General features: G+C 55.3%; 2 protein-coding genes across 11 annotated transcripts, besides 4 other annotated features; one reads left to right on the forward strand and one right to left on the reverse strand.

Moving 5' to 3' along the window:
• CYGB (cytoglobin) lies at window positions 894-24,731 on the reverse strand. Of its 3 annotated transcripts, none has more exons than NM_134268.5 (4): window positions 10,938-11,247; window positions 4,998-5,229; window positions 4,517-4,680; window positions 894-2,149 (listed from the first exon to the last, which is right to left on the reverse strand). In NM_134268.5, exons 1-4 carry the CDS (start codon window positions 11,078-11,080, stop codon window positions 2,116-2,118), a joined length of 573 nt encoding a protein of 190 aa, NP_599030.1. In that variant the 5' UTR covers window positions 11,081-11,247; the 3' UTR covers window positions 894-2,115. The 3 variants fall into 3 exon arrangements, with proteins under 3 accessions (NP_599030.1, XP_016879605.1, XP_005257062.1); XM_017024116.2 differs by lacking the exons at window positions 894-2,149; window positions 10,938-11,247 and adding exons at window positions 2,156-3,559; window positions 24,400-24,731; XM_005257005.4 differs by lacking the exon at window positions 894-2,149 and adding an exon at window positions 2,156-3,559.
• Window positions 1,124-27,118, forward strand: PRCD (photoreceptor disc component). 8 transcript variants are annotated; one of them, XM_047436658.1, is made up of 9 exons: window positions 13,582-13,753; window positions 14,043-14,111; window positions 16,091-16,171; window positions 16,567-16,659; window positions 17,341-17,470; window positions 17,770-17,908; window positions 19,068-19,174; window positions 19,434-19,669; window positions 26,647-27,118. In XM_047436658.1, the coding sequence occupies exons 1-3, from the start codon at window positions 13,680-13,682 to the stop codon at window positions 16,110-16,112; spliced, it is 165 nt and encodes a 54-aa protein (XP_047292614.1). In that variant the 5' UTR covers window positions 13,582-13,679; the 3' UTR covers window positions 16,113-16,171; window positions 16,567-16,659; window positions 17,341-17,470; window positions 17,770-17,908; window positions 19,068-19,174; window positions 19,434-19,669; window positions 26,647-27,118. The 8 variants fall into 8 exon arrangements, 7 of the variants coding, with proteins under 7 accessions (XP_047292614.1, XP_016880503.1, XP_016880502.1 ...); XM_017025014.2 differs by adding an exon at window positions 20,844-20,910 and having other exon boundaries at window positions 17,341-19,669; XM_017025013.2 differs by having other exon boundaries at window positions 17,341-17,908; window positions 19,068-20,910.
• Window positions 1,345-1,494: an enhancer, noted in NCBI's record as "active region_12810". NCBI's record gives its function as "activates an Ori minimal core promoter by ATAC-STARR-seq in GM12878 lymphoblastoid cells {active_cell/tissue: GM12878}" and the evidence as "EXISTENCE:reporter gene assay evidence [ECO:0000049][PMID:35858748]".
• Window positions 3,445-4,178: an enhancer, noted in NCBI's record as "H3K4me1 hESC enhancer chr17:74525989-74526722 (GRCh37/hg19 assembly coordinates)". NCBI's record gives its function as "activates a minimal SCP1, AML or CMV promoter by ChIP-STARR-seq in naive H9 embryonic stem cells {active_cell/tissue: H9 hESC(naive)}" and the evidence as "EXISTENCE:reporter gene assay evidence [ECO:0000049][PMID:30033119]".
• Window positions 4,179-4,912: an enhancer, noted in NCBI's record as "H3K27ac-H3K4me1 hESC enhancer chr17:74526723-74527456 (GRCh37/hg19 assembly coordinates)". NCBI's record gives its function as "activates a minimal SCP1, AML or CMV promoter by ChIP-STARR-seq in naive H9 embryonic stem cells {active_cell/tissue: H9 hESC(naive)}" and the evidence as "EXISTENCE:reporter gene assay evidence [ECO:0000049][PMID:30033119]".
• Window positions 20,848-21,351: an enhancer, noted in NCBI's record as "H3K4me1 hESC enhancer chr17:74543392-74543895 (GRCh37/hg19 assembly coordinates)". NCBI's record gives its function as "activates a minimal SCP1, AML or CMV promoter by ChIP-STARR-seq in naive H9 embryonic stem cells {active_cell/tissue: H9 hESC(naive)}" and the evidence as "EXISTENCE:reporter gene assay evidence [ECO:0000049][PMID:30033119]".

Below are 27,344 nucleotides of genomic sequence, written 5' to 3' on the forward strand. Positions count from 1 at the left end.
CAAGTGATCTGCCCACCTCGGCCTCCCAAAGTGCTGGGATTACAGGTGTGAGGCACCGTGCCCGGCCTTGCCTCCTGACCTTTTAACAAGGCTGACCTCCCCCAACCCCCACAAAACCCCAGTTCCAGTTTCCAGCCCTGCGTTCCTGATGAACCAGGTGAGGAACCCACAGCAATCTTAATCCCCAATTTAGAGAGAAGCCCAGGGGGAGCCAAAGGTGAGACACAGGGGATGGGGCGCCCTTGGTGTGGGACAGGGGATGGGGCACCCTTGGTGTGGGACAGGGGATGGGGCGCCCTTGGTGTGGGAGAGGGGATGGGGCGCCCTTGGTGTGGGACAGGGGATGGGGCGCCCTTGGTGTGGGAGAGGGGATGGGCCGCCCTTGGTGTGGGACAGGGGATGGGGCGCCCTTGGTGTGGGACAGGGGATGGGGCGCCCTTGGTGTGGGAGAGGGGATGGGGCGCCCTTGGTGTGGGAGAGGGGATGGGGTGCCCTTGGTAGTGGGACAGGGGATGGGGCGCCCTTGTTGTGGGACAGGGGATGGGGCGCCCTTGGTGTGGGAGAGGGGATGGGGTGCCCTTGGTAGTGGGACAGGGGATGGGGTGCCCTTGGTAGTGGGACAGGGGATGGGGCGCCCTTGGTGTGGGAGAGGGGATGGGGTGCCCTTGGTAGTGGGACAGGGGATGGGGCGCCCTTGGTAGTGGGACAGGGGATGGGGCGCCCTTGGTGTGGGAGAGGGGATGGGGCGCCCTTGGTGTGGGACAGTGGATGGGGCGCCCTTGGTGTGGGAGGTCAGGGGAGGACTTTCAGGAAAAAGGCCTGCGTCCAGAACCGGGGATGGGGGACAGAGGTGAGGGAAGGTGGCAGGAAGAGACTGCACGAGTGTGCACAGGTACAGCAAGAACGGGTCTGTTTAATGACACAGCTGGGTCTGGTTACAAACATCAGAAACTAGAAAAGGAGGACGGGCGGTTGCACAGATGAGGATGAGGATGAAGATGAGGATGAGGATGGGCCAGGAGGGGACACAGCAGGAGCCACAGCAGCAAAACATCCTTGAAGACGACACACGTGACCAAGGGGCACACACGGGGGGCCCCCCTGGCAAGCCTGACGCAGATGAATAGACAGGGCCGACTGCCGGCCAGGAGGAGGGTGGGGTGGGGAAAGCCCTCGGCCCTCGGAGCTGAGGGTGAGACCCAGGCATGTGGTCCCGCCGACCTGCTGCCCAGCAGCCCGGATCCCCCGGGGCTGCCCTGGTGGCCAAGGCAGGTGGAGCTAGCGGTCGAGGTTTCTGGACTGAGGCCCCTCCCCCAGTGCGGTCATCCCACCCAGAACTTCGCTCTGCCCCTGCCCATTCTAGGACAGCCGGTGAGTCAGTTCCTCTGAGGGAGTAGGGGGAGCCCACTCCTTTCTGCCTGGAAGTGGAATTCAGGAATGTGGGGAGCTGGTCTGAGAAGGGGCTGGGCTTTGCCGCCAAGCCGGGTTGCCCCAGCCCTGCCCCTCCAGGCCCAGGTCCTCTGCGCTGCTGTGGGATTTCCTCTTTGCCAGAACACTCTGTTCTCTGCACAACCGGAACCCCTCCCTGCCCCACTCACAGGTGGGCCAAACCGAGGCTTCTGGGCGCCGCGGATACACATTCTAGATATGTATGTGTGTATATATATATGTATATATATATTTATATATAGCTCGTATATAGAATATATCTGTATATATGGTAGATGTGTGCGTGATACTCTAGATGGTGATGTGGAGACCTGCATGCTGGCCGGGCTGATAGAAACGGGGCTGGTTTATTCCCTAAGGGACTCCTAGACCTGTCCCGCTTCCTGCCAGCCGCTCAGCTAGGTCTCTCTCTAACAGTGAGTAGAAAAGCTAAGAAGAGTGGGCCCCGCTCTGCCCGCCGCGCTGGGGTCAGCATCCAGGCAGCCAGCGCCGCCTCCCAGCAGCTCCAGGGGGGGACCCTGGCCGCCACAGAGGCCTCCTTCGGGGAAGTTGAGTCAGGGATTCCTCCAGCTTCCTTGGCACCCAGAAATGGAGCGTCAAGGAGGGTCTTCAGAACTCGGCCTTCTGCTCGAGGTGCTGCCAGGGAGGGGGGTGGAGTTAGGGGTCCTACGGCCCCGAAGAGGGCAGTGTGGCCGGTGGGCTGTGGACGAGATAGGAAGGGAAGGACAAACGTTACCAGAGGCAGGGAAGGACCCTCGGGGGAAAGGGGGAGGACCTGGGGCTGGCGAGGCTCACTTCCTGCCAAGAGATCCGGCACAGTGCAGTTGAAAGCAACCGTGAGACCCAAGTTCTAGTCTCCGTCCTGCTACGAACGTGCTGTGTGATCTCAGGCAAGTCTACTGGCCCATGGGAGCTCCGGATCTTTTTCTCTAAAATGTGAATAATGTCTGTCTTGTGACATAAACTGGGTAAAAAAGTGTTTCACAAACTGCAAAGCACGATACCAATGTGAGCTCTTTTTCCATTAATTCTGAAACGTGGCGCATTCTGTCCGGCCTGTCTCGTCCCTCCTCGGGCCACCCATCTGTATTCTCGTATTCTCGGTACACACAGCGCCCCCTGCAGTCATTGCGCCCCCCCCCCACCCCCCACCCACGCAAAGGCGCACACCCTGGAGCAGAGACGGCTCAATAAACAGTGGCGCCTGGCCCACCCCTGCTTCCCTGATAAGAGAAGTTGGGCGAGGGCCTTCTAGGACTCTACTCTGTAACTCCATCCTACCCTCGAGCCCATGGGGACCCTGGCAGCAGGGAGGCTCTGCAGGCTCAGGCCAGGGACACTAGGGGTGGGCTAGAGGGTGTAAAGGGATGAGGGGACCACCCCACCACTTGACAGCTGGGAGTAACCCCCATGGGGTGCCAGTTTCCACGGTAGCCCATCTCCATTCAGTCCACAAGGAGCAGAAGTGGGCGGAGGAGGAGACTTCGGCCGTTTCAAAATGTTTGGGGTTTGGAGAGATCTTAGTCCCTAGGGCAGGGTGGGGAGGGCAGGACGGGCAGCGTGCTGGGGAACTTGGGCCATGTGTTTCTGATTCACTGGGGCTCGCGCCCAGCCAGCTCTCTTTCCAGTCTCTCTTGGCCCTTGTAAAAAAGCCCTTTTCTCTGGAAGCAGGAAGTCTTGTGTCCTGGCTGTAAACAAACTCATCTTTGGCAGCAGAGCCTGCGTGGGGAGAGGGGTGGGAGGGCAGGCAAGCCCCCTCCCCTCCTCTTCCCCTGTCTTTTCCCTGGACCCTCTGGGTGACAGCTGGTGGGGGGTGAGGGGGCAACCACTGCTCTCCACGCCCTGCCAGTGCCCTCCTCTGGTGGGCCAACATCTGCTTGTTTCCCATTGACTCCCAGGTCTCAGGCAGGCCAGGGCCCAGCTGTGCACATCTGGAGTTGGCTTGGCTCCAGCCAGCAGTTCCCGAGGACTCCACTCTCTTGGGGTGGTGCTGACGGGAGAGGGGGGAGGGGAGCAGGAGCCAGCCCGGGGCCAGTGTGGTCAGCAGCAGGAAGGGCAGGAGGCCTGGCGTCCCCAGCTGCCCTCAGGGGACCTCCTCCAGGAGCTGTGCCTGTGAACAGAAGGGCCGGCAGTCTTGGGGGCCCGTGCAGAGCCCGGCGGGAGACGCCGCCTTTTCCATGGGAAACTGCTGGGAATGTTTCTCTACCACGGGAATGTTTCTCTACCACGCGTGTCCCGGGCTGCTGGCTGACCTCTGCTTCCCATTCCCGCCTCCGCTCCTCTCCTCCTTCCTACTCCAGCCCTGCCTCCGCCTCTCCATTCAGCTCCCAGAGTCAGCCTCCCCTTGGGGGCCCAGGGAGGCCGAGTGTTCCCAACCGCCACATCTGGGGGCTAGCCCTCCCCTCACGCTCCGAGTCAGCAGGAGTCACAGAGGGCGGCCACCCTCCTTGAGCCACCTCCTGGGCCCAGAACTGGAAGCCCAGCCTCCAGGTCAGCCTGGAAGTAAACATGCCCCTGCTCGTGTGCGTGTGAGCGACACCCATGTAGCTTCCTCGTGGGCTGGGGTGTGTGTGTGTGTGTATGTGTCCTCGTGATCCTCCGGGCTCTAGCCCTATTGAGGCAGAGGGCATTTAGCAGCACTGGTCGGCATGAGATGAAAAAACAGCCCCTTGTGATTGGCACCCAGGGAGGAAGTGGCTGGGCTGACCTGGGCTGCCTCCGAGCCTGATGATCGGACCTTACCGCCAGGAGCCTCTGGCGCCTCTCTGCCTGGGCAGCTGTGGCTTTGGGTGCTCTGAGCTCTCCCTGGCTCTAGGGAAGGGGAAGGCTCTTTGGGAGGATTTTTGCTCAGGGCTCATGGCTCTGAGCAGCCTGAAGTCACAGGGGAGCCATCTTGAAGGCCTTTCCTATTATGCCTGTTCTTACATGTCAGACCCCAGGGTTGGCCTGCCTCAAGTGTGCCTGCCCAGGTGATCAGCCCCAGGGCCTCAGGAGATATGGGAGACCTCGGGGACAGCAGAGGACATGGCGGGGAGGCTGCCCAGCCCACCCTCGCCCGCCTCCTCACGTGGTGGCGTTGGGGACCTGCTGCACCCAGCCCACTTCCTTGTAGGCAGCGGTCACGTGGCTGTAGATGAGGCCACGCAGCTTGGCCCAGGCTCTCTGCGTCTCAGGTGGGAAGTCACTGGCAAATTCCTCGGCGACCACCTCCAGAATGACCCCAGAGAGGATCTGGGGGCAAAGGGAGGAAGGGGGAGTGAACGCCCGGGCGCCCTGCGTCCTGCAACCCCCAGGCCCCTCCGCCCCACGTGTGGCCGAGAGGATCATTCCTAACGCAACAGTCTGGCAGCTTTGGGAACCCCGTGCTCTCAGGACAAGGGTTGCCCTGGACCCAGCCCCTCCATCCTGCTGCCGGGCACTGCCCCTCCCTCTCGCAGCCACTCCGGGGATCACCTCTGTTGCTCCAGAGAGCCGTCGCAGAGCCTGCGAGCTGCAGATGGCCATGACGCGTGGGCGGTGGGGGCTCTGCAGCAGATGGGGGCGCATACCTTGAAGTACACCGGTTCCACCTTGTGCTTGAGGGCGTGGGCTTTCCCCACAAGGGCGAGCACAGAGGACACCTTGTCGGGGTCATGCAGGTTCTCCACGACAGTGTTGAGGGCCCCCATGACTCGGCAGGCGTGCTTCCGCAGCTGGGGGCTCCGCTCCATCTCCAGGGGATCCTCCATGTGCTTGAACTGGCTGAAGTACTGCTTGGCCGAGGGGAAGTTCACAAAGAACCTGGCAAGAGGAACAGGGGTGGTCGCTGAAGCTGGAGGCTGCCTCGGGCCCACCCTGAAGCTTCCAGGATAGTGGGGGCTGAAGAAGTGGACCGCAGTGCTCCCCACCCCCGCACCGTCACTGTTTTCACTACCATCAGTAGACCTCAGCATAGACCCTCCTCCCTCTGGCCAAGCCGGCTCACCCCTACCAAGTCTGGCCATGTCTATCTGCCAGGCTTGCTCAGGCTGGCGGCTTCATCTCCTAGGCCTCTGTCTTCCTCGCTTCTTGCTTCCTTCCCAAACTCTACACCCCCTTCAAGCCCTGCTCTAGTCATAGCCGAGAGGGTAAGAACTCAGGTTCTGGAATCATGAGTTGATCTGAAATTAAATCCTCTCTAGTTGGACTGAAATTGTTCTGACTCTCCCAAAATACTGCTTTCATGAAGTCATGCTTATGCTCAAAAACATTCAATGGCTCCCTATTGTCTGCCAAAGTGAAACTCCTTAACCGGGCATTCCAGACTTCTGAACTGTCCCCCACCCGCTTCTTCAAACTCATGTCCACATTCCCCACTATACTCGCATCATCCCTGTCCTGGCTCAGCGGCTTTACTTACAGTTGGGAAAATGTTCCTCGGGTGAGCCACATTCCTTTCTACTACCCTTTTCCTGTGTCAGACATGCCTTACCTGGAGCAGGCTGGCCCAGGGGAAATGCTTTGCCCCTGAGGCCATTGGCACTACTCAGGTGACCTTCCCTGCCCTCCTTCCAGCGTGTCAGACTGGATCCCAAGGCTCTCACGCACCCTCTGACCCCCTGCCCTAGCTGGGGCCCTGCAGTGTGAAAAATGACAATGGCTTTTTTTTTTTTTTTTTTTGAGATGGAGTCTCACTCTGTCATCCAGGCTGGAGTGTGGTGGTGCAATCTTGGCTCGCTGCAACCTCTGCCTCCTGGGTTCAAGTGATTCTCTTGCCTCAGCTTCCTGAGTAGCTGGGACTACAGGCATCCATCACCACGCCCGGCTAGCTAATTTTTTGTATTTTTAGTAGAGACAGGGTTTCACCATGTTGGCCAGGCTGGTCTCAAATTCCTGACCTCAGGCGATCCGCCTGCCTCAGCCTCCCAAAGTGCTGGGATTACAGGTGTGAGCCACCACGCCCGGCCGACAATGACTTTTTCACCTCCCCTCCCTGTCGGGGCTGGATGTCATGTGAGACATGGGCACCGACTCAATCAGAACTTAAATAACTTAAGTGAATCCCCAGAAAATGTATGGAGTGGCCTGGACCTGTTCTTCCAGGTTGTTCTGCCCCTTCGTGTGTCCCCTTTGCGATCAGAGAGAGCTGATAATTTGCGGAAGTAGCCCTTTGGCCAGGAGTCGAGTCTCAGATGTGAGGGCTGGAACAGATGCGGAGAGGGCATCTGGCCGGGTCATCCCTGCTGCTGGTGGAACTGCTATTGGCGGGGAAGTTTGCACAGTGACCAGGGCACAGTCTGTGTGGAGACTCAGGAGGGCCCCTCTCAGAGGCCAACTGTGACCTTGGGCAAACCGCTTCACAAGCTCCCTGTTTGCAGAAGGGCAAGAGGAGGGCCCCCGCTCACTGCTTCATGGATACACGGGTGAGGACACGTGAGGCGACGGGTCTGAAAATACATTGAATTTTCTGGAGAAGCACTGTAATGAGGGACAAATGTGAAAAACCCAATTTGGACTTAAACAAGCATCTCAGACTTTGGAGGTTTTACAATTGCAATAAAAAATAATGATATGGCCGGGCACGGTGGCTCACGCCTATAATCCTAGCACTTTACGAGGCCGAGGCGGGTGGATTGCTTGAGCTCAGGCATTTGAGACCAGCCTGGGCAATGTGGCAAACCCTGTCTCTACAAAATACAAAAAATTAGCCAGGTGTGGTGGCACACACCTTTGATTCCAGCTACTCAGGGGCCTAAAGTGGGAGGATCACTTGAACCCGGGAGGCCAAGGCTGCAGGGAGCCAAGATTGTGCCATTGCACTCCAGCCTGGGTGACAGAGTGAGACCCTGAATCCAAAGAAATAATGATAATAATAATAATAAAAGGTCAGGTGTGGTGGCTCATGCCTGTAGAACTTTGGGAGGCCAAGGCAGGAAGATCACTTGAGGCCAGGAGTTTGAGACCAGCCTGGGCAACATAGTGAGATCCTGTCTCCAGAAAAAAAGAAAAAAATTGGCTGGGTGTGGTGGTGCCCGTCTGTAGTCCTAGCTACTTGGGAGGCTGCAGCAGGAAGATCCGATCGCATCACGAGCCCAGGATTGGAGGCTGCCATGAGCCATGATGGCGCCACCGTACTCCAGCTTGGGTGACAGAGCAAGACCCTGACAAAATAATAACAATGATATATATATTTGCCTGCTGTGTTACAATGTTATTGTACCTTTTTTCTTTTTCTTTCTTTCTTCTTTCTTTCTTTCTTTCTCTCTCTCTTTCTCTTTCTCTCTCTCTCTCTCTCTCTCTCTCTCTCTTTCTTTCTTTCTTTCTTGAGACAGAATCTTACTCTGTTGCCCAGGCTGCAGTGCACTGGTGCAATCTTGGCTCACTGCAACCTCTGCCTCCTGGGTTCAAGGGATTCTCCTGTCTCAGCCTCACAAAGTTAGCTGGGATTACAGGTGCCCGCCACCACACCCGGCTAATTTTTGTGTTTTTAGTAGAGACGGGGTTTCGCCATGCTGGCCAGGCTGGTGTCGAACTCCTGACCTCCGGTGATCTGCCTGCCTCGGCCTCACAAAGTGCTGGGATTACAGGTGTGAGCCACGGTGCCCGGCCTGTTATTGTATTTAATTGCCACAGCTAAGCGGGTATTACCTCTATTTTACTGATGAGGAAACAACAGGGAACATTTATTGAGCACTTACTGTACGATCTCACGAATCCTTGCAATTCTCTCCTGAGGTAGGCACTGTTTTAATCCCCATCCTATGAATTAGGAATTGATGTCCAAGATTGCCCAACAAAGTAGATGGCAGTGCCAGGAAGGGGCCCAGGCAGGCCCGCTTTGACAGTTTCCCTACACTGCCTGGAGAGACAGCTGTGCCAGGGGATCGTGGCCTGGTAACCAGGTGTCTCCTGCCTCAACACCCACCACCGGGTTGTGGCCCTGAGGAATGACAGTCTCAGGGAGTCCCCACCCAGACCCTCCACGGTTCTGTGGCCCCTGGGGCCCATGTGCCTGGCTCCTTCCTCCTGGCTCTGCGGTGTTTCCACCTGAGACCCTCCCGGTCTCAGCCTGTGCTGCCAGGGAGGAGCCTCCACAGCCAGCCCTGGGGAGTTTCTCAGCTCCCAGAGGCATCTGGGCTTCCAAGAGAGCCTGAAATAGGCCTGTCTGAGTGTGAGGAGGAAGGTGTCAGAGTTACAACCAGCAGGGAGGGTGGGTGTTCCCTCTTGGTCTCCTCCCTGGCAGGGAATGGAAGTGTGGGGTCTGCCTCAGGCTCTAAAGCAACGCCTCCTCCACCCCCACCAATGTGGCAACTTCTCCAGGTTGGGGGTGTGGAAGTGCAGCTGCCTCCTTCCTGCCCTGCAGGCTCATAAGGGCTGAGGGTGCTGGCCTGGCGCAGTGGGGAGGGCAGAGGTGAGAGTGCTGGCCAGAGGGCTGCAGCTGGGGTCTTGACCTTGAGGATGTGTATGTTGTGTGTGGGAAGACAGGGTGCTGTGTCAAGACTGACGGGCCCAGGATCTGAGAAGGGACCTTCAGGAGCCCTTATCCCCCTTTCTTCCCCTTCCCCCACTGACCAGGCCCTGGACAGAGACAGGAGGAGAGAAAAAGGAAAGCAAGGCCCTGTGGGGCTTGGGCTGGCAGGGAGTGGCTGAGACAAAGCTGGGCCAGGCTGTCCTGGGGCTGGGCTCTAGTCCACAAAGAAGTGGAGTCAGAGTGGTGAGGGGTTACTCTGGGCACTGAGTGCATTGGTAATGACCTCCCCCAGCCCAGGCCCAGGCCCCTCTAAGAGACAGGAGTGGGGAACTGGAAGAGGGGTGTAGAGAGAGAAAGAAATCCTTGCTGAAAACTCGGACTGCCCAGACATGGCCCTGGCCTCGGTGTTTCGTTTCTCCCTTGGCATCTGCCCTACCCTGGTCCCCTTCCTGGGGAGGTTCAATGGTGTTCCATGATGTGGACGGTGAGCACTTCCTCCACGTATCCGCACAGGTACCTGGCAGGGGTTGGGACACAAAACCTCCAAGGTCCTGAGGACCCTGCCTCGCTTCTTCATGGTGACCCATGAGTGTGCCAGACGCATGCAAGGCCGGTGGGCTGCAGGTGCTGACACACGGCTGACGGCACCCTCCGAGGACGCAGTCTGGCACATCTGCGGCTCTGCTACCCACAATGTGCTTGTGTGGGTGCCAGCACCTGTGGGGATTGGTGGTTCCGAGCGTCTGAGGCCCTAGTATCCCAATGTCCCTCTTAGCTTCCTGCCACTCCCGACTGTGTTTCTGGGCTTGGGGGCTGCTGAGATAGCTGCCCCATCCTCAGGAGCGCTCCTCTAACTCCTTAGAAGTGCTTCCTGCTCTTTTTCCTCCAAAATCTGCTTCTGAGTTGGAATCAGGGCATATCATGGTGGAGCTGGGTCGGTCCCAGGCTTGGGAGAGGCCACAGGGAGAAGAAGCTGGAGATGGAGCAGGCCTGGTAGTCAAGGATGCACTAAAGCTGCCCTTCCAGAGCGAGGCTTCACCCCATCTGCACATGACAAGGCTGCCCTGCTCTGTCCTAGATTTGACCGCTTTCCTCTGCCAAGAAGAGGGGCTTGAGGGTGAGCATGGTCTGGGGCTCCTCTGCCTGCACCCCCAGGGACCAGCACGTGTGGAAAGAGAGCATGGATTTGTAGCTAGAGTCAGTGACTAGCTTTCGAGACTTGGACACATCACCTCTATAAGGATGGTGTGTGTGCTCTAAGCCTAGGTGTGTGAAGAACGGGGCGCTCTGTGTTTGTGGGTCTCTTGGGGGCATGTAGTGCCTGAATGACCCCTAAGCCCAAGCCACTGCATTTCCTCCCTAGGTGGGAGGTTTTAGGGTTAGGCCCTGTCTCCTGAAGCTTCTCTCTTCTTCCCCTCACCCTCCAAACTCAGCAGGGATTGTATCCTAGGGGACTGTTTGCTTCTCCACTCACCTGTGCCTGCCCTGGGCGCTCCTGCTGGCCCGTGCCCTCCAGCGGGAAGGGGGCAGCTGGGAACACTGGACCCCCCGGGCTCTCCTCTTTCTCAACCTCTGCTCTTTGCTCTCTGTTCTTCCAAGAGGCTTTGAATCCCGCAAGCCGCTGAGCTGGAGACAGGGTTCTGCTCCTCTTTGTCCCGCTTCTTGGCTGAGCCTCGGTTTTCCCATCTCTAAAATGGGGAGCCCCTGCTATACTACCTTTGAAAGGCCAGAAAAATGTGTGTGTCTGACAGTTTGGCTGGGTGTCTGGGGTGGCTGGCCGAGCAAGGAGTTCTGAGGCCGGGGAGAGGAGGGGGACCGAGGTGCTCTCCTGCATCTGGTTCCTAGATCCTGGTGAACACCGCGCCGGAGCCAGGGAAGGCTCAACCCAGGCTTCGTTCACCCCAAGGCGCCCCACGCCGCCTGCTCCGCCGACCTCGGACCGGCCCCATTCGCGGCTGGGGAGGTGGCGCTGGAGCTCGGACCCGGGCCCAGCCCTCCTCTGCCCGGAGCCGCTGCCGCCCTCCCTGCCCAGGGCCCGGCCGGGCCGGGCGACACCTACCTCACCAGGATGGCCACCCCCACGTCCTCGCAGTTGGCATAGAGCCGGGCCCACATAGCCTGCACCGCCTTCCTCTCCGCCTCGGACAGCTCCTCGCTCCGCTCCCTGCGCTCGATCTCCATCTCGCCTGGCACTTTCTCCATGAGCAGCTCCAAGCCCAGCCCGGCTTTGCTCGGCGGCGGCGGTGGCGGGGCGCGGGGCGCGGGGCGCGGGGCGCCGGGAGCCGGGGCCGGCTGCGTGCGCGGCGGGCGGGCGAGGGGTAGAGCGCGGAGGGAGGGAGCGTGTGTCTGTGCGCGCCGGGTGTGTGTGTGTGTGTGCGTGCGTGTGTGCAGGGTATATGTGCGGGGGGCGGGGGACAGCCAGCGGTGGGGCGGGGATGTGGTCTGCTGGAAAATGTTTAAAAAAACAAATCCGCTCCAAACCCCCAGCCCCGTGTGGGTAAGAGCCAATGCCGGCAAGGTGAAGGCTGCGCGGGGTGGGGGCGACGCGACTGCCGCCCGCCCACCCGCAGGCCACGGCGGAGTTGCACCGCGGGGCGGGGCTCGGGTAGGTGTGGCCGGGGCGCTGGGGGTCCCGGGAGGAATGGGCGGTCACGCGGCGCTGGGCGGCGCGGGCCGCACAGGAGTGCGCTGGGGCGGGCGCGGGCCGGGAGCGCTGGGTTCCGGGTCCCAGTGCTTGCGGCGTCGCGAGTGTGCGCGTGCGGACCCTTCCCGCGGCGGGGAACTGACTCAAAGTCCAACACTCCCGAGCTTTCGCGGCGAGGCCGACCGCCAGCCCGCCCGTGGGGGCGAACAGGAGCCCCTCCGGCGGCCGCCGTGGACCTAGCTGGGCTCCCCTCGCCCGGGCCTCTCCCCGCGCCCCCGAGCCAGCCGCTGGGGGCCGCGGCGCCACTCCCACGGCTCTGGACGCCCAGGCTCTGGGGGGTTAGCACGGGGGTCGTCCCCCTGCCCGCCCACCGCCCCGGCTGTCGGAACTTGAGCGCACCTCCGACCTCGGGCGCCAGAGGCCTGCGCCCCCTCTCCTTCCGCCCAGCACCTCCATGCCCTCGGTGCACGAACGCGGCGGCGGCGGCCAGAAGTCCCCCGTGGCTTATGAATGACACGGACAGGCAAGAACCAGCCGCTGCCCTGAATTCTAGCCCAGCTGGTGGCGGAGGAAGTCCAGAGAGGCACCGGATAGGGCAGACAGGACCTGGCAGACAAAAAGTCTTGAGGAAGGCGCAGGCTGCTGGGGACATCTCAGCCGCCACCAAGGGCCCGATTCCGGGCCTGGGGGAGGCAAATCCTTCCTCCTGGTGGGCCCTATCCAGGGCAGTGTGAGATTGGGCCAGAGGTGGGGGGAGAATCCCATGGTGCCTGCCCTGCAGCGGCTGCTCAGTCCTGGGGACAGCCTGAGGCCAGACAGGGCCTGGCAGTGTTGGGAAGAGATGTCACTCAGGCTCCCGGCGACCCCTGTCCTCGCTCAAGACTTGATGTCCCATTGCCCAAGCATTGCTAAGGGTTGGCTCTGCGCTTTCACTATGGTTCATGTATTTATTCTTAAAATCCGACTTTAAGGTCCGGGGGAGGCGAGGAGAACTCACCCTGGCCAGCCTCAGCTGCAGCCTGGGCCCCTCCTGGGAGCTCAGGGTTCAGGTGCCTGGGGGACCCTGAGGCAGTGCCTCTGACACTGTCTCCCCCTTGTTGAGGGAATGAAAATCTAATGCCTCCTGGGGGTCTTGGAGGGGCTGGAGGGGAGCGGGTGGGTTCAGGTTCTCACACCACTCCCAGACCCATGTCTCAGCGTGGCCATGGCTGGCTCCATGCTCCACACACACACTGAACAGCTTCTCAAAGTTGGTGTGACCAAGTGGCTGCCCAACAGGTCCCCTTGGGATGTGGAAAGAAAATAGGAGAAATCGTGTAACTATTTCTTTTCATCTCATCCTTTGCAAATGTAATATAGTCGTATGGTGTAGGAATGAATCTGTACAGTAGTCTAGCATATAATTTGTAAGTGGCTGCACCTGTCTATTTTGTGAGTGCACACTTGAATTCTGCCTTTTACTGAAGAGGGCGTGTAATCAGAAAAGTTTGGAGAGGATTGTCCAGAGGGTAAAACTGCCAGCCCTTCACTGTTGAGTCTCCCGTCTCTCTGGCTTCATTATCCAATATTCCTCCCCTTTCTTCCTCCTCTCCTGATGCTTCCACGGTGACATCATTGCTTCACCTCCATTCACCTTGCAGTTACTGGCAGATGCTCCATGCTTTCATGTCAGTAGCTTCGGCAGCGTCTTCTGTCTGAGGGCTCATCCTGCCTTGTGCACTGCAAATTCAGAGGCCCTTGCTCCTCTTTAAACGTTGCCCTGATGCCTGCAACTCTGAAAGTGCCCTGTAGGCGCCTTGAATAACTCCTGGGTCACTCTACTGCAGTCATTGTACTTGACAGCACATTTGTTTAGAGTGGCAGCTCCTTGCAAGCAAGGCCCAGTCTCATCAGATCGAGACTCCGAATACGTGCTCAATGCCACAGTGCATGCCTTGACCCTACCGCTGGAGGGGAGAACCTGGGCCCAGTGAGCTTAATCAGTCCTCACAAGGTCGGGGCCGCTGACCCACTAATCAGCTTGAGCCTCCTAATCCATCCCCAGCAGGAACCGCAGGACAGACGGCAGTGGCTCCTGAGAGCTGGCTGGGGCCATTTTGGCCCCTCGCCTGTGGCCTTCTGCAGACTTGGCCTGGGAGGGGATGGGGCAGCTGCGCCATGTGCACCACCCTTTTCCTGCTCAGCACCCTGGCCATGCTCTGGCGCCGCCGATTTGCCAACCGAGTCCAACCGTGAGAAACTGACCGGGCTATGGCTGGCGGTTGGTCGGGGGGGGGGGGCATGGGGCTGGGCTGCCACCAAGCTGAAGGTGGGCAGGGGCTGCGTGAACCTTCAGCGGGGCTGGGAGGGCATTTTGAGGAACCCTTGAGAGAGCACAGTCTCAGAGCAGGGGGACTTAGAGCTTCAAAGGCTCTAGTTGCAGCCTCTACTCCCATAGCCCAATGCGGCCTGGACCTGTGGAGGGACAGTGAGGGGCTGGGCACAGCCATAGCTCTTCCTCCCTACTCTTGCCTCCCACAGAGAGCCCAGCGACGTGGATGGGGCAGCTAGGGGCAGCAGCTTGGATGCGGACCCTCAGTCCTCAGGCAGGTAAGGCAGGAGTCTGGGCTGGGGGAGGGAGGGTGCTGCCAAGGAAGCTGTGGCTGTGCATGCCTGGGGGTGCACGTGTGTGCCTGTGCGCGCCTGTGCGTGCACCGTATCCTGGCCCTTGCCCTAAGCACCCTGCTCCCTGTCCGCCTGCTGGGCAGGCTGGATGTCTGTTTTCTGCGGTTGGGAATGGGAACCCTCAGCTCGCTCCTCTGGACCAAAGCCGCTGTGCCTCTCATCTCCAGCACGGGGCGGTCCCCCGGGGCACCTTCTGTCAGAAGGCACAGGGGAGTGGAAGGAGGGATGAGGCAGGAGTAGCTCTGTGTGGCTTTGCTCGCCTTTCCTTGCCCTTCCCCCTCCTCCTCCTCTGCCCCCGCCCTGCCTCAGCTAGGCTGCCTGAGCCTCCAGCAGGATTCGCTGTCCAGTCCCCAATAGAAGGCGCGGGAGGAGCATGACATCATCAGCATAGAGTGCCATTGGCTGGGCAGACCCTGCGGGCAGGACGCTGTCTCCAGTGGCCAGAAAGTTAACTCTTCCCTAGGCTGGAGCCATGTGGTCTTTAGGGGGTGAAGTTGGGGGAACTTCCAGACTTTTCCTTCCCTGGGTGACCAGTGTCGTTCGATGATAGGGGCGCCTATCCCAACCAAACACTGGAAAAAATCAGCAAATCTTTATGAAGTTCCCATGCATGAGGGGTTCCTTCTGTGCCTATGGACTCACCTAGCGTGGGAGACCTGTCTGAAGAGTGACTTTTTTGCTCCCAGTGAAACAAAGAGTAAAAAAGATCCGATGACATCTTTGGGTCAGGGCGCACTGGCAGGAGGGTGTCTCCACACAGGGAAGACTCAGGTGGCGGGTACTGTGACCATCCATGTCTCTTTCTGAGTGGGGACCTGCCAGCAATGTGTCCCTTAGATATGCGGAAACTGGCAACCGAGAGAACTTCCGTCTTTCTGTCTCCTGTCGTCTGAGTCCTGGGATTCTGAGTCCTGAGATTCTGATGATCAGAAGGCCCAATGGGAAGCCCTGGGCCTGTACAGGAAGCGGAGGCATTTCTGCGACACCTCAACTCGATAGGCCAGCTGGCATCATCATAATAGTGCCTAATTGATATCACTAGTTAAATCAGCTACAATGACCACCCCTGGGCCTCCCCCGATAGGAGGCCCTCAAATGCTGGGTGGTCCACGCTATTGAGCCCGGGTCTAGAGTTGGGCAGGGAGAATTTAAATTCTGGCTTCCCTCTTACTAATGGAAAGACTATGGGGGAAATTTATGCAATCAGTTTATTTATATGTAAACTAGGATTAATAACAGTGGTTGTGAGGTTTTGGTGAGGGTGCAGAGTGATTGCTCCATAAATGCTAGCAGCTGTCTTGTTTCATGCTCGGGACCTGTGCTTTAGTTTTCTCCAGAGGTTTCCTACCTATTAAGTCACTCGGGAGGCTCAGTAACCCCAGAGGATTGGCAGGACATGTGTTTTTAATCTTTGGTTAATGGTTGTGGAAACTGAGGGACAGGGAGATTTAGGTGGCTTGCTCCAGATCATCTATCTCATTTGTGGCTAATGCGGGATGCTCAGGCCCGATTCCAGGCAGGGTCTCTTCTACATGAAATGGGCCTGGACCTCCTGGCAGGAGAGAAAAGGCCAAATCTGAGGACCATCTGGCCAGGCCTGGCCTGGCGTGACTTAGCCAGAAGGAAGCAGTTGCCTATTAACTCCTTGGGACCCAGTTAACTGGAAAAATTGGTCTGACATCGAGGAACCACCTGCCGATGGTGGCTGCCGTGGAAGGCTGGCAGTGGGGGTGACATTTCTACTCTCCAGTCACACTGTCCTAAATGCCAACTGATTCCTTAGGTGGTCCTGCCCCTCAATATTGGGGTGAATTGATAGGGATGGGAGGAGGAGGAAGAGGAGAGTCAGAAACATGGGAAGGTCGTGCCCTTCAATCCTGACCCCAGTGCTTTCCTCTGTTTAGGGAGAAAGAACCTCTGAAGTAAGCCCTCACCTCTGCAGGTGGGGCTCAGGCCCAGAGACTGGGATCAGCTGGCTCAGGCAGGTAGGGCAGGGCTGGGAGCCGGGGAGGGCAGAGGGCAAGGCTTGGGACAGGCAGGAAGCAACAGGCAAGTCCCGGCCATGTGGGAGGATAGCAGGCAGTGTTCAGCTCTTGCCACTGATGGAGGTTCAAAGTAGGCGGATGGACTCATGCCTTTGGCTGCTACCTTGAGCCTGTTGTGGTCCGGGCCATGGGGCAAGGATGAGTTTGAAGAGAACCAGGTGTAGTTTGACCACATTTTCTAGGCTTGGGGATGGCGAGGTGGTCGTGCTGGGGCATGAGGGCAGTGTCGGAGGACGCCCAAGGGAGAGGCGGTGCTCGGAAACATCCACTCTGAAATGCGAGTCCCATCCCCAGGTGTGGGAGAAGTGCTGATCTGCTCTGGTTTTCTGTTTCAGCTCAGGTCCTGGTTCGTCCCCTAGCCCAGGAGGATGCTGTGGGAGCTGCAGCAGCGGCAAGAGGGAGAATGGGGGGAAGCAGCACTAGAGAAGGTAGACGCCTCCCTCTCAGCCCGGGACCTGCCAGTCTCCCCTTCCCCCAGGCCCTGGGTGTGGGCTCCTGAGCAGGACCTGGCTGGGCCTGGCAGAAAGAGCAGACGTGCTCGCTGCTCTCGGACGGGCTTCCTTCCCTCTGAGTTCCTGAGGCTCCTCTGAGGGACTGCTGAGCCTGAGAAAGCCTAGGATGAGGGACTTGCTGGGTCCACCAGGCTAATTCTGGGGCAGCCAGCAGCCCAGGCAAGAGGCAGGAATAAGTAAGGAGTGAGGAGACCCCAGAAGCAAGGGACGGCTGATAGCTCACATTTACTAAGCAAGGGCTTCCATTCATTCTGTAATTTAATCTTCAGTCACCCACAGAGCCTGGTAATGTTATTATCCACAATTTCTAAATGGGGAAACACAGAGACAGGTTAAATAATTTGCCCAACATCACCTAGCTAGGAAGTGGAGGCTCCCAGGCTCACACTGGAGCTGCAGAGCCCACGCTCCTACCCACCATGGCAGGCGGCCTCCCCCTGGAACCTAACAGTTTGCAGGGGTTGGGGGTGGTTTGCTGGCCTGGCCAACTGCCTGTCAGCCCAGGAGCTATTCTGTTAAGCCGCCACTTGTGGTCCGAGGTGCTGGTGTCGGTTTGCCACAGTGGCACTCGCTTTTGTGTCATTTGCCTTTCCCCAGTTCCCAGAGCTCATCCTGTCACTGGCTGCTCTGCTGAAATTATCAATAAGAAATGCCAGTTGGATCTGTGACATGTCTGCCTGCAGCTGGATGGGAGCAACGGACAGCTTGTCCTCCGAATGTGTTTTCTGTATGTGTGCAAGCGCGTGTGTTCCAAACGGGCAGTAGCGTGTGGGAAGGAAAAAGCCTGACACTTGTTTTTATCAATTTGCTGATGCTCAGTCCCGGCGGCTGCCTCCTTTGCCCCCAGCTGCTCTGCCATTTCTCTCTTTTCAATCCTGCATGATCCTGAGCAGAGATAAAAGCAGATTTCCGCTTCTGCTCCCAGATCCAGGAGCAGACCCTGCAGGCAGCTGCTCCTGATGTCTCACAGCTATTAGTCTTCAAAAACCCCCCGTGCCTCTGTGCACACGCGTCTCTCCTCCCCAGCCAGCCCCCCTCCCAGCCCAGCGGCGATGTCTCTGCCTGGCTGGCCCGTGCCCTTGACTTCCAGGCAGTAGAAGATGGAGTTCTCTAGACAGCAGCACTTCAGCCGCCACTCTGCCTCTGAAGGGAAGGAAGGGAAAGGGTGAGGGATGCCGCAGAGCAGAGGGAACCGCTGGGGAGGCGCTCAGGGTGGGGGAGGAGGTGCACCCCGCTGGGGAGGGCCTGCTGGTACCTCGGGGAGCCTGGCTGGGGTGTGTGCGAAGGCAGTTCTGTGGGAGCCTCTCAAAGTAGGGCAGGCAGGAGGCAGGGGGAAAGTCACACTAGGGAAGGAGCCTGCAGAGGCAAAGCCAGAGCGCCAGCCTGACCCAGGCCGTGAGCCCGTGATCGCCTGTCTCAGCTCCTGTCAGCCTGTCTCTCTCTTTGGAGGCATCGGCCTTCCTGGTGACAGGCCTGTCAGGCTGAGGGCCAGAGGGCACTGTTCCCGGGACCCAGTCTGTGTTCCCCGATCCTATCTGCATTTATTCTCTATTTGCCATGTTCCTGTCACCTCATCCTTGCTGCCATTTCCGAGTTGCTCATCTCCTTCCACTGGTCTGAGGAATTGTCAGGCCAAGGTCATGGAGCTGGCTCACGGCCCAGACGCACTTCCCCAGGGCAGCGCCCCTCCACGCCACTGTTCCGAGAACCTGCGCAGGAGGTGGTGGCTGCTCCAGGGATCCATCCAGAGGAAGGGCGGGAAAAAGAGAGGAAGGGGCTGCTGGCGGCCAGCGGGGCTGTGGCTGCCTGGGCTTGGAGGTTGCCTGGGCAGCTGGGGTGCCATGTGGGCCGGGTGGGGGGGCTGTCTCCCCCAGGGAGCAGGCTGGCTTTGGTGGGAGCAGATTGTGTTTACACCTTCCCCGCACACCCAGCCCACGCTCGCCTCTTATTCCCGGGGCCTCTCCCACCCCTGGGCTCTCTGCGCAGTCTGCACATTTGCAGCTCCTGCTGCAGAAAGTTACCTCTCTCAGCCTAGAGCTCCCCACAGAAGGCTCCTGGGACCCGGGTGCCCCTTCCTTGGCCCACTGGCTCCCATCACAGGGCTTAGTGTGAAGCTCAGGGCAAGGGTGGACCTTTAAATGGGGGAATTAAATCCTGACTATGACACTGTCCCCACTGAGGCTGAGTCCTTTTTCATCCCTTTCCTTGCAAAGAGCCGCTGCTTGGGAATGGGAGCAGGAGTGCTCAGGGGCTTGGGAGAGGGCAGATAAAGGGCAGCTAGAGAGGGAGAGCTGAGCCAAAGGGTGGGGTCCCTTCTGGTCTAGGGTGCTGGCTACTGTGAAATAACAAGAGTCCAAGAGCAAGGTGTCCAGAGTCAGAGCTCCTGGGTTTGAACCTTGTTCCACCAGCACATCCTACCTCTGTGGCCTGGGTAAGTTTCTGAACACCTCTGTGCCTCAGTTTCTTTAGCTGTAGGATGGAGATCCTACTGGTATCTGTCTCTTAGAGTTGTAAGGGTTGATTAGATAACGTGTGGAAGATGCTTAGCATGTTGGGTAAGTGTCCCATATATGTGAGCTGGCACAATCCGGTTTGAACTGTAAATTACTGAACAGTGGTAGATTCAGGACGGCTAGAGTTCCTCACATCCTCACTCTCTGGTCCTTCCTGCCGTCTCTCCACATACACAGAGCTGGGCGACCGGTAGTTCTGCAACAGATCAGAGGATGGCAGAGGGTGGCATTGCTGGGGTGGGGAAGCCCCCTGTAAGCCTGTACTGGAGAAGACCACCACTGCCTCTCTGTGCCCAGAACCATGTCCCAACCTCCAGTGGTGACCTCGACCTGGACAGCGCCACTCCCAGCTGGCTCTGCTTCCGGAATGAACCTCAGCTCCTTGACAAGACGGGAGGCGCTGCCCTGCTGTGGTACCTTCCTCCGTGTGAATGCTAATATCTCTGCTGGGGGAGCCTGAGTGACGGGGAAAGGCTGCTTGGAGCTGCAGGGCGGCTGAGGGCAGCAACCAGGAGCAGGGAGGTGCTGCTCCTGCAACTGAGGCTCAGAGCGGCTGCCAGTCTCTCCTGGAGACTGGAGCATGACCAGGGAACTAATGAGGCGGTGGGGGTGTGGTGGGAGCCAGGGAAGTAGCCACTGCAGCTGTGGCTGTCCACTGTCACCCTGGGGTGTAGATGTCACCTTGGGGAGTACCCACCCATTCCAAGTGTGCGGTTGTGTGTGTGTGTGGTTTGTGTGTGTGTGTGTGTGTGTGCGCGCAGTCCTGGGCAAGGGCAAACAGTACAGGTGGTGGGCCAAGACTAGATGGGTAGGGCACAGTGCCCACTATGAGACAGGCACAATGGCGAGAGAGCAAACCCTGCTGGTTCCTCAGGCTCCCGTAGCCTCTCTGTGGGGGGCCTCACTGTTAGGAAGAAGCCCAAGACCTAGAGCTAGAGGAAGATAATGCTTCTTTGTGAACCTCAGAAGAACAGTTTGGTTCGCACGGAAGCTTATGTTAACATAATGATGATACTAATCGTATGATTAATAACCACTAACATGCATTGGGCGCTTACTATGTGCTAGGCACTGTGCCAGCTGCTGTATTTTACGCACTGTTTCATTTATGCGGCAGGAACTGTTATCATTTATCCAATAAGGAAAGTGAGGTTCACAGAACTTGCTCAAGGTCACTCATAGCTGGCAGTGAAGCCAGGACCTGAGCCTGGGAAATCTGACACCAAAGCTTGGGATAGAGGGGGCCCAAGTCTCGAGTTGGGGGCCGTGAGGAAATTTTGATTGTGACCTGTCTACAAGGCACAAGGAATGGAGCTGTGGTCCCGCCCAGCCTGCCTTTGCAAGTGGGCTGGTGTTGGCCAGGGTCATTGCCACCAATCTGTCTTCAGGAACTCACATTCAAGGGCAGACCAGACTCTAGGCCCTGAGAGGCTGGTTCTTGCCTGCCAGGTGAGGGGGAGAGGAGAGCTGCCCCTTTAGGACCCCTCAGTCTTCCTCAGGAAGGATGTGGTGGCCTCTGGCAGGGATGACAGACAGCGAGGTCATCACCCACAGTCACTGCAACTGCCACTCTGTTGCCTCCTTCAGCCAGGGGCAGGGCCCTGGGGAGAGGACAGGATGGCAGCCAGCAGCCCAGCTGGAGATGCGGAGCCTGGTGAGGAAGGTTGTTTTGATTTGTTTTTGCAGGGGGAGGGTGCAGGCCATGGAGACCAAGGAGGTGGCTTTCAGGGGGATCCGCTGACAGTGGGAAGCCAGTCCTTGTGCCTAAGGAGCACAGACCCTCTCTGTGTGACACATGTGCCCCCTAGTGGGGATGATGACTGTAGTGGGGGACTGAGAAAATTTTTAAAAATTTACTAACAGACTCAGCCTGTGCACCTGGGGAGGAGAGGCCAATCCTGTCCCTATGTGAACACACACACATTCACACACACACACACACACATATTCACACACAGAGACACCCACATTCACACACACAGACACACACACACAGAGACACATACATTCACACACACACATACACAAACACAGTCATATACCTATACAAACATATAATACACACACAGACATACACACATTCACAGAGACACACATTCACACACACACACACAACACACATTCACACACACACAGACATACACATATACATATTCACACACATACACATACACACAGACACACATAACACATTCACACACACATACACATATACAAACATATTCACACACATATACACACACATACACATAAACATACACATACATACACATTCACACACACATTCACACATACACATGCATACACAGACATACACATATACGAACATTCACACACATACACACAGACATACATGTACACACACAAATAAAACAGACACACAGAAACACACACACATAATCACAGATACACATGCATACACAGACATACACATTCACACATACACACACACATATACACCGACACATACACATTTACACACATACAGACATATACACTTATAGACACACATAGCATACACATACACACAGTCACACACACAGATACACATAAACATACATACACACAGAGAGACATACACATACACAAATACACACAGTATCATATGCAGAGGCAGAAGCCATTTGAACTAAGCATTAAAATAAATTAATGTGTTCATTTGGTCATTTATTTAACAAGCGTGTCCTGGGAACCTGCAATGTACAAACCCTGTATCAGGTGTCAGGAGTGACACTCGAGGAGAGACAGACCCTGCCCTGCTGGTTGGTCCTATAGGAAGGCCCCAGCCTCGGTGGCCTAGTTCTGCCAGCCCAACCCTGCCTGTCCCTGTGACCTTTAGTTCTCTGGACCTCGGTTTCCTCATTTGATAAACATTTGTCAAGCCCAGGTGGGCTGGAGTGAGGACGCAGAGGACTAATGATCTCCTCAGGAAAAGAACAGTTTAGTAAAATGAAGGGGATGGACCAGAAGCTCTCTGGGGGCCCCACCGACTTTCCCAATCGAAAGCAACTGTAATGAACTGTGTCTGGAGTGCTGTGTGCCAGGCACTGTGGATCCAGAAACGGATTAAGACCTTCTGCCACAAACAACCAGAAAACTGGGCAAGATATAAGCAGCAGACACTTGACAACAGGCAGCACACAGGACAGTGACCCCATGACTGCCTCAGCTTCTGCCTGGAGACAGTTCCCTGACTGTGCCTTGGGGAGGGGAAACCCAAGCGGACCACAGTGGCTTTGCTAAGGTGAGGAGGAGACAGAATCAGAGGTCAAGACAGTGTGAGATTCATAAGGATATACACACAGATCAATGGAATCCAAAAACAGATGCAGAAAGGCAATCCAATGGAGAAAGAAAGGTCCTTTCAACAGGATACAAAAAGCACTAACCAGAAAAGAAAAATCAATACACTGGACTTTATCAAAATTAAACCTCTGCTCTTGGAAAGACTAGGAGTAAATATTTGCCAAACAAAAATCTGAGAAAGGACTTGTATCCGGAATACATAAAGAACTTTTACAATTCGATAATAAGATGGCCCAATAAAAAAGTGGGGAAAGATTTTAATAGACACTACAACAAAAAATAAACATACAGCTAAAATACATAGAAAGTTGTTCGACATGCGGCTGGGCGCGGTGGCTCACGCCTGTAATACCAGCACTTTGGGAAAGAAGAAAGATACTCCACATGCAAATCAAAAGCCCAATGACATACCACTACATGCCTACCAGAGTGGTTACAGCTGAAGGCCGACCATAGTAAGTACTGTCCAAGATGTCACCCTGTCATACACGGCTGGGGACTGGTGAAGTGTTACAACCACTTGGGAAACCAGCATGGTGGTTCCTTATAAAGTTATCCCAGAGGAATGAAAACTTACATCCACAAAAAAGACTGCAAAGATGTTCATGGCAGCTTTATTACTAACAGCTCCAAACTGGAAACAACCCAAATATTCCTCGACGTGGGAACAGATAAACACACTGAGATATATAAAGATAGAATAATACTCAGCAATGAAAAGGAAATGAACTGCTGATGCCGACGACATGGGTAAATTGAGAGAAGCCAGACACAAAAGAGCCCCTACTGTGTGATGATGACATGTACACGGAATTCTAGAACAGGCAGAACCGACTGATAGTGACAGAAGGCATCAGTGGTTGACTGGGGCCGGGGTTAGATATTGTGGGGGTTGACTGCAAGGGTAAGAAGGTTTTTGTTTTTTTGTTTGTTTTTTTTTCTTTTTTTTGAGATGGAGTCTCACTTTGTCACCCAGGCTGGAGTGCAGTGGCATGATCTTGGCTCACTGCAACCTCCACCTCCTGAGTTCAAGCAATTCTCCTGCCTCAGCCTCCTGAGTAGTAGGGACTACCAGCTTACACTACCACGCCCAGCTGATGTTTGTATTTTTAGTAGAGACGGGGTTTCATCATATTGGCCAGGCTGGTCTTGAACTCCTGACCTCAAGTGATCCACCCGCCTCGGCCTCCCAAAGTGGTGGGATTACAGGTGTGAGCCACCGTGCCCAGCCTAGAAGGTTCTTTTTTTTTTTTTGAGATGGAGTTTTGCTCTCATCACCTAGGCTGGAGTGCAATGGTGCGATCTCGGCTCATTGCAACCTCGCCTCCCAGGTTCAAGTGATTCTCCTGCCTCAGCCTCCTGAGTAGCTGGGATTACAGATGCCCACCACCACGCCCAGCTAATTTTTTGTATTTTTAGTAGAGACGGGGTTTCGCCACGTTGGCCAGGCTGGTCTCAAACTCCTGACCTCAGGTGATCCACCGGCCTCAGCCTCCCAAAGTGCTGGGATTACAGGCATGAGCCACCGCACCCGCCTAAGAAGGTGCTTTTGAGGTGACAACAGTGTTCTAAATCTTAACTGGGATTGTGGTTACATGGGTCTATACACTTATTGGACTACTGAACCATACATTGTAAATGGTTATACTGTATTGTATGTAAGTTACACGAGAATAAAGATGATTTAGAGAGTTAGAAACAAAACAAGAATGAAGAATGATGCTTGTTTTGCTCACCATCTAGCAGAAAAGCCAGACATACAAATAATCATCAAACAGTGGGATGAGTGTTCAAAGTATGTTGAAATAACACGAACTCCCATTTATCAAGTGCTTACCTTGCGCCAGGCGCTGTGCTAAGTGCCCCGAAGCACTGATTTAACGAAGTCCCGTGATGTTTGGATGATCCTCCTCCTCCTCCTCATTTTACAGATGAGAAAATAAGACTCAGAGAGAAGTGAGGTGACCTTTGCCAAGGTTACTCAGCTAGAATCAGCAGAGCTGGGACTTTCCTCCAAGTCCTCCTGGGTTGCAGACAATGTGCTAATCCACCTGCCACCAGGAAGGTGCCACGATGAAACAGCTCGGGAATTGTTGCAGCGTCTCAGTCAAAACTTCGCAGGAAGTATTTAAGTACAAGCTGGAATTTGCAGAGCAGAGAAGAGAATGCAGTGAAGGGACTTTCAAGGCAACAGGAACAAACACCACCACAAGCAAAGGTTATGCAACAGCTGTGAGAAGGCAAGGGTTTCTGGGCATGGAGAGACATGCCCAGGAAATAACAGAAGAGATCCATGGAGCATTATATCGTCTTCAAATTCATTTATTTTTATTTTTAAAAAATCAATTTTTGAGTAATACTCTAGAGGCAGTGGCTCTGCCAAGCAGGGAAGTCAAATGCATCGCTTTTTTTCCTGTACACTGTTGGCAAGCACAGATAATCCACAACTCCAACGCCATCTATTCTCAATGCGTAGGGTCTGTGTTATATTTCTCCTCTTCCAGAAAGTTAAAGCTCGGTGAAACTTAAAGCAGTGATCCCAGGTTTTTAAATTTTTATATTTTTACTTTTCTTCCATCTGCCTGGTCATCTGCATGATCCCAGCTTTCTGAACAGGATTTGTGACACTGTTTCACGGTCCTAAGAACTCTCAGGAAAAAATCCTCTATATTTTCATGACAGGTTTTCTAGGTGGGTGAATTAAAGTCTCTGGAGTTAAGCAAAAACGGTCCACTGTCATAGCGTAATTTTTTTAGGAAACATGGCATGGTGGCTGAGACCATGGGTTTTTAGGCTGGATTGTTTGAGTTCAGATCGCAGTGCCTTCACTTATGAGTTCCTTTAACCTTTCTGCACCTTGACTTCCTCAGCTGTGAAATGGGAAGGTGGGGGGGTGGGGGATAATGACAGGGCTGTCATGAGAATCAGATGAGACAGTGAATAAAAGGTGCTTCCAGAGTACCTGCCACAGAGTAAACACTTCATATACACATAGCTGTTATGATTTCCGGAAGGAGGCTTGCACACATGAGCTCATTTTCTGTATTCTGCCATGATCCATTCTTCTGGGAAGAATTATTTTTAAAAGATATCATTTAGGATGATTTGACTGAAACAGAACACCCAACTTAAAATGACTTAATAAGATTTCTTTTTAAAATCTCACTTTTTATTTATTTATTTTTTTTGAGATGGAGTCTCGCTCTGTCGCCCAGGCTGGAGTGCAGTGGTACGATCTCCACTCACTGCAAGCTCTGCCTCCCGGGTTCAAGCCATTCTCCTGCCTCAGCCTCCTGAGTAGCTGGGACTACAGGCACCCGCCACCACGCCTGGCTAATTTTTTTTTTTGTATTTTTAGTAGAGATGGGGTTTCACTGTGTTAGCCAGGATGGTCTCAATCTCCTGACCTCGTGATCCACCCTCCTCGGCCTCCCAAAGTGCTGGGATTACAGGCGTGAGCCACTGCACCCAGCCTAAAATCTCACATTTTGTAATTCACTCAAACTGAGATGCCATTGCTTGTAAGACACATCCTGCATTTTAGAATATGAAAATGCGACCAGCTGTGATGGCTCATGCTTGTGATTCCAGCACTTTGGGAGGCTGAAGTGGGTGGGTTACCTGAGGTCAGGAGTTCGAGACCAGCCTGGCCAGAATGGTGAAACTCTGTCTCTACCAAAAATACAAAAATTAGCTGGGTGTGATGGTGCACACCTGTAATCCCAGCTACTTGGGAGGCTGAGGCAGGAGAATCACATGAATCCAGGAGGTAGAGGTTGCAGTGAGCTGAGATCATGCCACTGCATTCCAGCCTGGGCGACAAGAGCAAAGCTCTGTCTCAAAAAAAAAAAAAAAAAATATATATATATATATAAAAATATATATATATAAAACATGTATATGTGTATATATATGTATACATGTATACATATATATGTGTGTGTATATATATATGAAATGTATAAATGTGTCTCTGAATCAAAACGAGGTCTGAAGTTCAGGGGTGTTGGGACTGGCGGTTTCTGCGGGTCAGCAGCATCACTGAGGACTCATGTTCTTTCTTCTCTCTACTCTGCCATCGCAGTCCTTCAGCTCCTACTTAATGGAAGCCTCGCAGATGCAAGATGGCTCCAGCAGGCCCAGCATCACTTCTTCTCAGTGTCCCAAAGCCAGAAGAGAGGCTGTTGTTTTTAAAAGCAGGAAAACTTTCCTAAACTTGGCCAGAATTGCATCACAGACCCTTTCCTAAAACAATTTCCAGCAAAGGGAATAGACTTACCATGTCTGGTACAGATGAATCAAGGTTTGCCCCTGGGGGCTGGGGAGGGGCTTGTCCCGCTGAAGCAGACTCTTGCCCAGCAGCTGAACGAAGCCTAGGTTCACCAGACGGAGGAAGAGACTGGCCACTAACAGTGCCTGACACACAGATGTGCTTCCTGTGATATCGCTGCTGCCACCGTTCCAAATGTAAGCAGTTGGCTGTCTGGGATACTACCTACCTTCTTTTGTGTTCTTATTAATAAAATTAAAGATTGCTTTCTGGGTAGAGAAATTAACCTCAATATTCTAAAGACTGTTTTATTTTTATGTATTTATTTTTTTGAGACAAGGTCTTGCTCTGTCATCCAGGCTGGAGGGCAGTGATGAAGTCATGGCTCACTGCACAGCCTCAATCTCACGGGCCCCAGCAATCCTCCCACCTCAGCCTCCCATCCAGCTGGGACCACAGGCATGTGCCACCACACCTGGCTGTTTCTCATTTTTTATTGGTAGAGACGGGGG

This window comes from Homo sapiens, chromosome 17 (assembly GCF_000001405.40).
Source record: "Homo sapiens chromosome 17, GRCh38.p14 Primary Assembly".
Classification (NCBI taxonomy): domain Eukaryota; kingdom Metazoa; phylum Chordata; class Mammalia; order Primates; family Hominidae; genus Homo; species Homo sapiens.

Coding starts and splice junctions, on each gene's coding strand:
- PRCD (XM_017025014.2), top strand. CDS start 13,680: ATGTGCACCACCCTTTTCCTGCTCAGCACCCTGGCCATGCTCTGGCGC. Junction 13,754..14,042: donor TTTGCCAACCGAGTCCAACC/GTGAGAAACTGA, acceptor TGCCTCCCACAG/AGAGCCCAGCGACGTGGATG. Junction 14,112..16,090: donor GACCCTCAGTCCTCAGGCAG/GTAAGGCAGGAG, acceptor TCCTCTGTTTAG/GGAGAAAGAACCTCTGAAGT.
- CYGB (XM_005257005.4), bottom strand. CDS start 11,080: ATGGAGAAAGTGCCAGGCGAGATGGAGATCGAGCGCAGGGAGCGGAGC. Junction 5,230..10,937: donor GGGGTGGCCATCCTGGTGAG/GTAGGTGTCGCC, acceptor TCCTCTTGCCAG/GTTCTTTGTGAACTTCCCCT. Junction 3,560..4,516: donor CAGGTCCCCAACGCCACCAC/GTGAGGAGGCGG, acceptor TTCTGTTCACAG/GCACAGCTCCTGGAGGAGGT.